The sequence below is a fragment of the Homo sapiens genome, chromosome 18 (assembly GCF_000001405.40).
Source record: "Homo sapiens chromosome 18, GRCh38.p14 Primary Assembly".
In the NCBI taxonomy this organism is placed as follows: Eukaryota; Metazoa; Chordata; class Mammalia; order Primates; family Hominidae; genus Homo; species Homo sapiens.
In genome coordinates, this window is record NC_000018.10 from 35,396,740 (window position 1) to 35,409,864 (window position 13,125).

The window sequence follows — 13,125 nt, forward strand, 5'->3', positions numbered from 1 at the left end:
AGTTTGAGACCATCCTGGCCAACATGGTGAAACCCCGTCTCTACCAAAAATACAAAAGCTAGCCGGGGCCGGCCACGGTGGCTCACGCTTGTAATTCCAGCACTTTAGGGGGCCAAGGTGGGCAGATCACCTGAGGTCAGGGATTCGAGACCAGCCTGGCCAACATGGCGAAACCCCGTCTCTACTAAAAATCCAAAAATTAGCTGGGTGTGGTGGCGTGTGCCTGTAATCCCAGCTACTCGGGAGGGTGAGGCAGCAGAATCGCTTGAACGCGGGAGGCAGAGGTTGCAGTGAGCCGAGATTGTGCCACAATACTCCAGCCTTGGCAACAGAGCGAGACTCCGTCTCAAAATAAAATAAAATAAAATAAAAAAATAAAGCCACAATGAGCTCTTACTGGAGTGCCCTAATGATTCTTGAACCACTCTTGGAAAAACAGATCTCCAGCAGACTTTCAGCTTCTTCAATCTATGGTCTCTGTTCCTGGAGGTGGGCTGAAGCTCCCTAGACAGAAAGGCCAGAAACTGTTACAGTTCTACTAGAAGCTGCCCTTTCAGGTACATTTCTGGTTTCAGCCACTGTTGACAGGGTCCTTGAAGGGTCCAGAAAGAGACTTACGAGGTCCAGGTGAATCTGGATAGCAAAATTTCCTGGCATGTTTTGGAAAGACACGTGGTTCATGGCAGTTACTTCACTCCAGGCTGGAATTCCTGCTCTCTGTGGATAGTGTTCTCTTCTTCCTTTATATTTATACTTATTTCTCTTTCATTTGCAACCCAGTACAGTACCTTTATTAAAATTCAACAGTCATCATGGCTGTGGAGTGAAACAGCAAAACAGTTATTACTCTGAGTTTCCCTCCTCAGAAATCATTTAGGAATGGCAAATTGCAAAACTTCCTTGGGTCATAGATGTCTCCTAAAGGAGGGCAATACTTAATAACATAGTTTTATACATGGAAACATAATGAAATTTCCTAAGTAATTTGCAAGGCTGCTGTAACACTATCATGCACATAGTCACATTTATTTTAAAATAATGCTTTGTTTTATAGAGCACTTAGAGGAACTCAGAATAAGGAGACTGAACTTCTAACATTATTAAAATGTGGCTCCAATTACAGTTAACAAAAGATATTTTCCCTGCTGAAGGAACTGCCTTATAGTGACAGTGACCACCTTTCTATAGTGCTATAGAAAGAGAGACACTCTTTCCTCTGAGATAATGAAGGCTGGAGAGGAATACAGATTTTATACATTTCCAAATTGTTTCCCACACAAGACAGCCAAGGAGCGTAAGTAGTAGATTCTCCTTTTCCTGTATCAGAAATCAACTTACTAATCCTAGCAACAAAATAGCTCACATTTCATAGGCACTTGATACTACTGTGACAAGTGCCTCATACACACCATCCCACTGAATCCTCTCTGCAGACAGGAAGTGCCTGTTAACCATTGAGCTAGGGCTGAGCTCCTCTCCAGGATTCATTCCTTTTGTGCTTCAGAGCATCCTGGAGGCTGGAGGCTTGCTCCTCAGTGGCTTCAGGAGCAGAGGCCTCTCCTAGGTCCTAGGAGTCTGCCATGGGGGCTTCTTCCAGGGCTTCTTTGCCCAGGACCAAGAAAATCTTCATCGAATTGGACAGTATGAAGATCCTTGGTCCCCTTTCCTAGAACTGTTTACAGGGAAGGCTTTGAGTGAACGTGAAGATTGCAATCAGCTGATGACTAAATTAGAGGAGCAGAAAGGAGGCATTAAGTAGAGACGTTTGTGATAGGATAAGACTCTGAAACAGCAACTTCTGATGATGCTGTTCTCAGTAAATTTCCTTCTCACCTCATAGCCTTTCTATCACTCAAGTCATGAGCCTGAAGTGGGTATTGTTTCAAGGGACAGAAAAGCTTAGAGTTTTTCCAAATAGTTTTTTTAACCACATAGTGGGAACAATAGTCTTTAAAACCAATATTTTAAAAATTCCAATAGAACATTTATCTTTTTAAATAGTGGGCTTTTTGAGAAATTTCCTCATTCCTTTCCTTTCTTTTCTTGAGTTATAAAAATTCATCTTTGAAAATTCAAAGCTGACATCTGAAGGATCTCAAATACAAAGTTCATAGCATAAACAATAGTTAGTGGGGAAAATGCATGCTAGCATGAGTTAAAGTGTGACAGGCTAGTAGAATGAGAAAACTAGAAAACGGGAAGGCAGGTGACTAAAGCTTAGGAGCTGGTGGCTTTCTGAGCAGGCACCATTAGATGCCTGCCCAATAGCAGTTCTCTCTTTTTGAAACCAGTCATTGTAATCCAACTCCTTCTCTTTTTATTACCTACTTACATTTCCAGCCTCATTTGTTGCTAGGATGAATGGCCAAGAGATCCAGTTATTAGCAATGAGAACAAAGGAAAAAATGACCTGGAAAGCATTTGGGAAAGACTTTGCTCCTGATAAAAGGAAAGCCCTTTCCCCCTTGCCATTTTCTTCCTGACTTCAATGCAGTTGTGTAAGAAAGTGATGCTTGAAGCTGCACGGTTTGGAAATCATGAGATAATAAAGCAAAAAATGAAATGCAAGCACATTGAGAATGGCAGGTGTGGTAGACAGACTAATGTTCTCCAAAGATGGCCATGTTCTATCCCTGAAACCTGTGACTATGTTATGTTGCCTGGCATGGGGGAATTAAGATTGCAGATGGAATTAAGGTTGCTAATTAACTAACTTTAAAAATAAGAAATTATCTTGGATAATCCTGGTGGGTCCAGTGTAAGCACAGGGTCTTTAAATGGAAGAGGGAGGCAGAAGAAGAGGTTGGAGTCAGAGAAACGAATGTGCTACATTGCTGGACGTGAAGGTGGAAGAAGGGGCCATGAGCCATGGAATGTAGGCGATCTCTAGAAGCTGGAAAAGACAAGGAAACAGATTCTCTCATGTAGCCTCTAGAAGGCTCCAAGGCTGTTGGCACAGCCCTGACAACACCTTTGTTTTAGCCAAGTTAGACCATTTTACACTTCTAACTTCTAGAACTGTAAAACAATAAATTCATGCTGTTTTAAGTCACCACGTTTGTGGTAATTTGTAACAGCAGCAGTAGGAAATGAATACAGCCACTCAAGGGCAAAACACCTCCCAGCCCCCCATGCAGCAAGGTGTGACCATGTGTGTAAGTAACTTCCCACTCATATCCTGAAAAGAAAGCTCCTTGCTCTCAGCTTACATTTTATTTCTATAAAGTAGAAAATGGTCATGCAAATGATTGGCCTATTTCTACCTGGTAGATGTGAACAACCCTGTAGGGGTTGGCTGAAGCCACAGATAGAATAACCTGGATCCCTGAATAATAGTAAGTTGCAGAGACACATACACTCCTTGTTCACCCACCTACTGAGACTTTCACACCAAGGGGAAATAAACTCTCTGTCTTGTTTAAGTCACTGTTATTTAGCATGTACAGAAGTCTTGTAGCTAATATCCTGTATTTCTCTTGGAAACATAGAATTGAGCAGACAAAAAACTCAGCAAAAATTTAGAAGATTTGAACAATTCAATTAATAAACTGGATTTCTATACAGAATATAGAATATATATTTAATATATACAGAATATACAGAATACTGCACCCAACAACTGCTGAATACATTTTCTTTTCAAGGACGCATGGAATCTTCACCAAAACTGACCATATGCTGGGCTCTAAAGTAAGTCTCAACAAATCTCACAGGGTTGAAAATCATACACAATTTTCACAGGATTAAAATTATACAGAATGTTTGCTTACCACAATGCAATTAAGCTAGAAATTAATTACAAAATTACAAAAAGACAACTTTAAAAATATTCTTATGTTTGGAGATTATAAAATATATTTCTAAATAATCCATGTGTCCAAAAATAATTTACAATGAATATTATAAAACATTTTAAATTAAATGGTGATATCTTGAATCACCAAGAGTAGATTTTAAATGTTCTCACCACAGTGATAAGTATGTAAGGTAATGAGTATGTTAATTAGCTTGATTTAGCCATTCTACAATGTATACATATTTCAAAACATCACGTGGTACATGATGAATATATCCAATTTATTTGTCAATTTAAAGTAATTTAAATATAAATTAAAAATACTAAAATGAATAACAATTAACTCCCAATTAAAATAAGTAAATGGTAGTAAAATACTACACATTAAAATGTAAGATGTAGCTAAGGCAGTACTGAAAAGAAAACTTGTAATCTTTAGTGCATAAAAGGTGAAAATTAACAAAGAAAGCATTCATTTCAAAAGGTTAGAAAAGGCACAATAGGCTGGGTGCCGTGGCTCACGCCTGTAATCCCAGCACTTTGGGAGGCCGAGGTGGGCGGATCACGAGGTCAGGAGATCGAGACCATCCTGGCTAACATGGTGAAACCCCGTCTCTACTAAAAATACAAAAAATTAGCGGGGCGTGGTGGTGGGCGCCTGTAGTCCTAGCTACTCGGGAGGCTGAGGCAGGAGAATGGCGTGAACCCGGGAGGCGGAGCTTGCAGTGAGCCGAGATGGCGTCACTGCACTCCAGCCTGGGCGACAGAGCCAGACTCCGTCTCAAAAAAAAAAAAAAGAAAAAGAACAATAAAATATAGCAAAATACAGTAGAAGAAAGAACATATTAGAAATAAAATAAAAACAATAAAAAAAGAAAACATACAATAAAATGATAAATACAATAAAAATGTATTACATTTTTATTGTAATACAATACATAATGTATATGTGTATGTAATACAATACATAATGTAATGTGTATGTAATACAATACATACAATAAAAATGATAACAAAGCTATAGTTCTTTCAAAGACATCCAATCAATAAACCACTGGTGAGACCCTTCAAGAAAAAAAGAGAAGACACAATTAATAAGAGTGACTGTAATTTATGTCTACACCAGGGCATGTTTACACTGAGAAAGGCCACTGAATGTAATTATATACTTTTTTGAAACCTTTATTAATTAACAAATTAATTTTATTATACCAGTGAACCTATAAAATACTTTTATTCAAAAACTATTCTCAAAAATTCTTTTTTAAAAAATAAAAAGAGTATGTATAGCAAAGCAGTCACTGAATTTTTTTGACAGGTGCATTTTTTTCAACATGATCATATTATTTTTAGCACCTATATAAAATTGCCTGCAATCCTTTTTTAAAGCTGGAAGAAGCTTTGAAGGAGCTTCAAAGCTTCCTCAGCTATGATCAATTTATAGTTGGATTGGGTTGGGTTCTTTCGGAAACAGATTCTGAGATGAAGTTGACCGAGCAGTCTGTTTGAGGAATGTCTTTGGGATCAATGTGTGCGGGAGGAAAAGGAAGGAAAGGTGAGAGAGCAAAGGGCCGGATGGGCTGTGATACAACCCAATGGCAGCCTTAATCAACCCCACAGGGAACTCTGCTATTAAAATGACCTGTCAGAGTTGTCCTGTTTGTGCCACAATGTCCAGATCTTTACCCCCCCACCAGTTGTTGAATATGGACCACTGGAGGAAGAACAGGACCTTAGGCAAGGCAGCCCTCCAGCTGAGAGAGGCCCTGAAAGCATTGTATCTGTCACCAGCCCTGTGGCCAAAAGTCGTGATGGAAGCTGCTCAGTGCACATGTGTCTTATACGCTACTGGGCCACATCATGGCTGAAGCCTGAATGAATTCCAAAGTGAAAATTGACCAAAACCATTATGGCTTATTTAAATTCAACTATTGATGATAGTTAAATTTTGTTTCTCTAGGGAAAAATGCTAAACTAAATAGGATGCCAGGAAAATAGATATAAACTGGGACTGTCCCATACACATCAGGTCCATTTCAGGCAAATCGAGATGTATGATAGCCCTATGAATAACTGGCATTAGAAATGAGAATGGAGACATGGTTACAGATTGGCAGAGATTAAAAGAATAACAATTTGAAATTTAGAAATATTCATTTGAAATTCCTTGAAAATACAATTTTCCAATTTACTGATAGAAGTAGAAATAGGAAACATTAAATGCCCAATACTGCTAAGGAAATTGAATCTATAATTTTAAATCATCCCCCCACCCCACAAAAACTACAAGCCTAGATAGTTTCACTAATGAAATCTTCCCGAACATTTAAAGAGGAAATAGTGCCAACCTCAAACATTCTTACAGATGTTAGAAAAATAGAAAATATTCTCATTCTTATTTTATAAGGCCAGGATAACCCTGAAATGCCAAAAGCTAATAAAAACATTACAAAAAAAAGAAAAAAATGGCAAGGTAATTTCACTAATGAATACAGTTACAAAAATCTAAATAAAATATTAGCAAAATCCCTCAGCAATACATACAACATGATGAAATGGGTTCATTCCAGGAATGCAAGGTTTACTTAATACTATTGGAAAATTATTAAATGCAATCCACTATATTAACAAAACAAAGAAGAAAAATCATATGATTTAATAGATACAGAAAAGGCATTTAATAAAATCAAATCTCTATCTATGTTGAAAAGAAAAAACCAACCTCTTAGCAAACTAGAAATAGAAGGAAAAATCCTTAATACAATAAAGAGTATTCACAAAAGACCCACAGCAAACATTACCTTTAATAATGAGATGATCAAGCTTTCTTCTAGACATGGGAAACAAGACAAGGATCTGAGAAACAAGACAAGGATTCCACTGTTACTACCTATACTCAACATTGTCTTAGAGATCCTGGCAGAGACAAAGGCAAGGAAAAAATTTAAAAGCTAAGGATTAGAAAGGAGGACTTTTGGCTGGGTGTGGAGGCTCATGCCTGTAATCCCTGCACTTTGGGAGGCAGGTGGATCACCTGAGGTCAGGAGTTCGAGACTAGCCTGGCCAACATGGTGAAACCCAGTCTCTACTAAAAATACAAAAAATTAGCCAGATGTGGTGGCGGGTGCCTGTAGTCCCAGCTACTCAAGAGGCTGAGGCATGAGAATTGCTTGAACCTAGGAGGCAAAGGTTGCAGTGAACTGAGATCATGCCACTGCACTCCAGCCTGGGCAACTAGAGCAAAACTCTCTCTCAAAAAAAAAAAAAAAAGGATTTTTTAATAAGACATGGTAATATTTGTAGATAACCTATAGATAAATTAAGAGCTTTAACAAGTTCAATATACAACAAGCAACTGCATTTTTACATTTCAGCAACAGGTTGGGAAGTAAAAAAAATTTCCTTTAAATAGTCATTAGAAATTAAACACCTAAAGCATGTAACAAAAGATAGGCATGACTTCTTTATTTATTTATTTTATTATACTTTAAGTTCTAGGGTACATGTGCACAATGTGCAGGTTTGTTATGTATACATGTGCCATGTTGTTGTGTTGCACCAATTAACTCGTCATTTACATTACGTATATCTCCTAATGCTATCCCTCCCCCATCCCTCCACCCCATGACAGGCCCTGGTGTGTGATGTTCCCCTTCCTGTGTCCATGTGTTCTCATTGTTCAATTCCCACCTATGAGTGACAACATGCGGTGTTTGGTTTTTTGTCCTTGCGATAGTTTGCTCAGAATGATGGTTTCCAGCTTCATCCATGTCCCTACAAAGGACATGAACTCATCCTTTTTTATGGTTGCATAGTATTCCATGGTCCATATGTGCCACATTTTCTTAATCCAGTCTATCATTGATGGACATTTGGGTTGGTTCCAAGTCTTTGCTATTGTGAATAGTGCTGCAATAAACATATGTGTGCATGTGTCTTTATAGCAGCATGATTTATAATCCTTTGGGTATATACCCAGTAATGGGATGGCTGGGTCAAATGGTATTTCTATTTCTAGATCCTTGAGGAATTGCCACACTGTCTTCCACAATGGTTGAACTAGTTTACAATCCCACCAACAGTGTAAAAGTGTTCCTATTTCTCCACATCCTCTCCAGCACCTGTTGTTTCCTGACTTTTGAATGATCGCCATTCTAACTGGTGTGAGATGGTATCTCATTGTGGTTTTGATTTGCATTTCTCTGATGGCCAGTGATGATGAGCATTTTTTCATGTGTCTGTTGGCTGCATAAATGTCTTCTTTTGAGAAGTGTCTGTTCATATCCTTCGCCCACTTGTTGATGGGGTTTTTTGTTTTTTTCTTGTAAATTTGTTTAAGTTCTTTGTAGATTCTGGATATTAGCCCTTTGTCAGATGAGTAGATTGCAAAAATTTTCTCCCATTCTGTAGGTTGACATATAGGCATGACTTCTAAGCAAAAAGTTTTGAAATATAATTGAGGGAATCTGAAGCACTCCCAAATAATGAGAACAATCTTGAAACAGAACAAATTTGGAGGTCTCATACTTCCTAAATTCAAAACTTATTCCAAAAATACGGTAATCAGAACAGTATGGTACTGGTGTAAAGACAGACCTACAGACCAAAGGAATAGAATAGAGAGCTCAGAAACAAACTACCCCACACATAGTCAAATGCTTTTTAACAAGGATGCTGAGACCATCCAGTGGGGAAAGTCTTTTCAACAAATAGTGCTGGGAAGATTGGATATCCATATGCAAAAGAATAAAGTTGGACCCTTACACATCATACAAAAATTAACTTAAAATGAATTAAAGACCTAAATGCAATAGCTAAAGCTATAAAACTCTCAGAATAAAACAGGGGAAAATATTCAAGACATTGGATTTGGCAATGATTTATTCAATATGAAACCAAAAGCACAGGCAACAAAGCCAAAATAGATAAACTGGACTACATCAAACTTTAAAACTCCTGTGCATCAAAGGATACAATCAACAGAGTGAGAAGGCAACCTATAGAACTTGAGAAAATATTTGCAAATCATTTCAGACAGGGTTTAATATCCAGAATACATAAAGAACTGCAATGCAACAACAACAAACAACCAATTAAAATATGGGCAAAGGTCTTGAGTAGATATTTCTCCAAGGAAGATATACAAATGGTCTAACAAACACCTGAAAAAATGCTAAACACCATTAATTAGGGAAATGAAAATCAAAACCACAAGATACCACCTCACATGCATTAGGATGGCTACTAGCAAAAAACCAAAGCAAACAACTGGAAAATAACAAGCGTTGGCAAAAATGTGGAGAAACTGGAACTCTTGTGCATTATTGATAGAAAAGTAAAATGGTGCAACTGCTATGGAAAACAGTGGTTCCTCAAAAAACTAAAAATAAAATTACCATATGATCCAGCAATTCCACTTCTGGGTATATACCCAAAAGAATTGAAAGCAGGATCTTGAAGAAATATCTGGACACCCATGTTAGTAGCAGCATTATTCACAATAGCCAGCATTATTCACAATAGCCAAAAGGAGGAAGCAACACACATGTCTATCAATGGATGAGTAGATAAACAACCTATGGTATTTAGTATAATGGACTATTATTCAACCTTCAAAAGGAAGAAAATTCTGACACATGGTACACCATGGGTGATCCTGAGGACATGATGCCAAGGGAAAAAAAGCCAATCACAAAAAATACAAACACTGAATTATTCTTCTTATATGAGGTACCTAGAGTAGTCAAATTCATAGAGACAGAAAGTAGAATGGTGATTGCCAGGGACTGGGCGGAGGGGGAGGTGGCAATGGGCAGTTGTTTAATGGGTATAAGGTTTCACTTTTGCAGAATTACAGGAGTACTGGAGATTGTTTGCACAATGTGAATGTAGTTGACACTACTAAACTGTGCATTTAAAAATAGTTAAGATTGTAAATTTTATGTCATGTATATTTTAACACAATTAAAAAAATGAACAGAGCCTATAAAACAATATTTATGGATAAAATTATTGAGAAACCAGTAAAAAAAATTTACTGAAACACATTAAAGAAGACCTAAATAACTGGAGTGAATTCCATATTCATGGACTGATTATACCTTAATTGTAACCTATCGTAACCTAATATTGTAAAAATGGCAATTTTTCCCAAATTAACTTGTAGACTTAATGTAATCCCAATAAAAATTGAAACACTTTTTATGGAAATTGAAAAATGAATACTAACATTTATATGGAAATACAGAGTTAAGAAGAGCAAAGACACTCTTGAAAGGAGAATGTAGGTGATAAGACTTGCTCTACTGGTTATCAAGATTCATTAAACGGGCCAGGCGTGGTGACTCACGCTTGCAATCCTAGTACTTTGGAAGGCTGAGGCAGGAGGATTGCTTGAGCCCAGGAGTTTTAAACAGGCGTGGGCAACAAAGAGAGACCCTGTCTCTAAAAAAAGTTTTTAAAAATTAGCCAGACATGGTGGCATGCACCTGTGGTCCCAGCTACGTGGGAGGTTGAGGCCGGAGGACTGCTTAAGCCCAGGAGGTTGAGCCATATTTGTGCCATTGCACTCCAGCTTGGGCAAAAGAGTGAGACCCTGTTATCTCAAAAAAAAAAAAAAAAAAAAAAAAGAAGATTCATTGATTCATTAAAAGGTTGTAATAACTAAAAAAGTATGGTGTTAATGTAAGACAAATAAACATACCAATGGAAGAAATTAAAGGTACCAGGAAAAGATTCATACATACATGGGTGGCTTGACATGTGACACAAAGATCTTTGCAGAAGAGTGGGAGAAAGTTTTTTTTTCAATAAATGATGCTGAATCAATTATCTAAATGGAAAATGGAAAATAAAATTGACCCCTACTTCATACCATACACAAAATCATTTTCAAGTTAATTATAAACCTAATTGTAAAAAGCAAAATATTAAAGATGATGGAATATAATATAAAAACATTTTCAAGATATTGGGATAGGGAGAGATTTTAGAAATATGACACTAAAACTCTAATCTCAAAGGGAAAGAAAAAATGATAAATTCAGCTTATTAAAAATTGGGATTTTTATTTATCAAAAGACATGCAAATGTGGAATTCCAGGATGTTAGCTGTGCAACAAATGAAAAAGTAGTCTCAATTTGAGCAGTAGCACTGAGAATAACTCCAGTAATTTTTCAGAAGGAGAATTATTGGAGAATTCAGACTTGTTTAACAATATTGAGAGGACCATACAGCTTCAGTAGAGATTTTAAGCATTAATTTTGATAAGTACCTAGAAAACTAAGCAAAAAAATAAAGCAAGGTTATGATTTTTCAGGAGCAAAAACACAGAAGGATGTTTCCAGACAAGGAAAAATAATTATACAATACAATCTACCTGGTTCATTTGTGAAAAAATTTGCAAAATCATACTATGATGAAGACATATCATTACATTGTATTGCAACTGTATGTTAGAGGAAGAGGATGAACTAAATTCCCGTTTTCTGAGGTAGTATTATAGTATTCTTTGCCTTCTTCTCCACAAGAGGGCGCAAGGTGAATGAACCTTTCCTTTTGTGGCCTGGTCTTCATACTCTGCCGTTGGCATTTCAATCTAATCCACAAGTATTTTCAAAGCAATGGCTCTTTTCAACTTGAAAAGTGGAAAAGTGGTCTGTAATGGTCTGTAACCACCTTTCAGACCCTAAGCCTGGGTCTAGGAGAGCATTTCCGATTGAGCTTGTCTGCTATGCAATGCACTGGCGTAATGGAAATCATGCCAGACCAGGGGTCATCTAGCATGGACTGTCCTGCTGAGGCTGTCCCCTCCTGGCCAGGGCATCTGAGGCAAGTGAGTTGGCCTCTTGGAGTCTCAGTTTCCTCATCTGTAACATAAAGGCAATTAGAGTAATCACCTCATAGGATTGTCCTGGGAAATAAATGAGGTAGAGTTCCCTAAGTGTCTAAGAAATATTTTATATGTAAATTTTTACATATAAAATTACATATATTTTATATGTAAAAAAAGTAACTATTATTATTTTTACTATTAATTCCTTATCTGTGAAACTCTAGAGGGATTGCCAAGGGGGGACTGAGTGACCTCCAAGAGTCTCCTCCAAGATCTTTTTTCTGAGTTTGTCAATGACTTACCATGCATGCTGGTCATTTTCTATAATCTATCTGTAAAGCTTCAGAAAAGAAGAGGAGACCTCTGAAGAGGAGGGACACGCTGTTCCCAGGAATCTGCTCCAGCAGATTTTCTGTCCTGCTGGGCCCTGTACCCGCCCTCCATGCCTGCTGTGTGCTGTGGGGCTGGAAGTATGTGGCCAACACATCCCACAGTTTTGGTCCTGGTCTCAGCTTGGTCCTGCCAGCAGTGGAGAACAGAGGCGGCTTTGGTTTAGTGCTGTCCATGCTGGCCACAGCAGCAGCCTCTGGCTCCCGGGGCAACGGGTAGCTGGTGTAGGCTTGGGGCCAGCCGGGTCGGTAATGACTTCTTCATCTCTAGTTAACCCTCCTCTATTTTCCCCCTCTGGCACCCCTCCAGCCACACCCACCAGCCATTGCAATACCTTGGTAAATAGTTCTTTGCCCTGAATCCTTCTCTGCTTGAAAGAACAAGTGGTTTCTGTTCTCAGACTGCACCTTGATTGATGGGTGCAGGGGCTTCACCATCTGGAAAGCTCTCCCCAGGCAAGTGGGGTGCACAGCCCAGCCAAACCACAGTCATCATCACCACCTCTTCTCACATGCAGGTTTCTAGACATTAATATGAGCCAGGGGGCACCATACGGGTGTTATTTGTATACACCTGGTGTATACAAATATATTCATTTCTATTGTGGTGTAAAATCCCATACAGCCTGCAATGGGGCAGCCTTTCTGGGCCTGAGGAGTGGGTCGAACCTTTGCTAATGTTAAATTATCAGGTTGTGTATTCCCCTTTAGGATGAGTGTTTCCTTGCTTTCTGCTGCCTTCCTGCTTTAGAAGCACAGCAGCCATGAAGCACTAAACTTCATCGCGCACACAACCAGGCACTGCAGGATTTTGAAAGGGTGCTGAAGGATAGATACGGGCTGATTCCCAAGTCATGCTCGAGACTCCCTTATGAAGGAGGCTGCCAAAGACTGGTTTTGTGACCCTAGCTGGCCTCCTATCTTTGACCTAGAAAGAGGTTTCAAAGGCTGAGAAAAGGCTAGTGGTGAGAAGGTTTTTGAGAGGGTTGCTGGGAGGGGCCTGCATGATACCTTGAGGGGCAAAGGGAACGTGGGAGTGTTTCCCAAGGACCTGATTTGGGCGGCTCCACTGAGAAAGCTGGCTGGGGTCATTTGATATCCCACC

At 38.6% G+C, this 13,125-nt stretch overlaps 1 long non-coding RNA gene across 2 annotated transcripts; it reads right to left on the reverse strand.

Annotated features, from left to right (window-relative positions):
- Positions 1 to 318: 318 nt before the first annotated feature.
- On the reverse strand, positions 319 to 12,335 carry LOC105372063 (uncharacterized). 2 transcript variants are annotated; one of them, XR_935376.3, is made up of 3 exons: positions 11,934 to 12,335; positions 6,598 to 6,652; positions 319 to 816 (listed from the first exon to the last, which is right to left on the reverse strand). It is a non-coding gene; the product is annotated as an uncharacterized LOC105372063 (long non-coding RNA). The 2 variants fall into 2 exon arrangements; XR_007066338.1 differs by lacking the exons at positions 319 to 816; positions 6,598 to 6,652 and adding an exon at positions 8,660 to 11,665.
- Between the last annotated feature and the right edge of the window lie 790 nt (positions 12,336 to 13,125).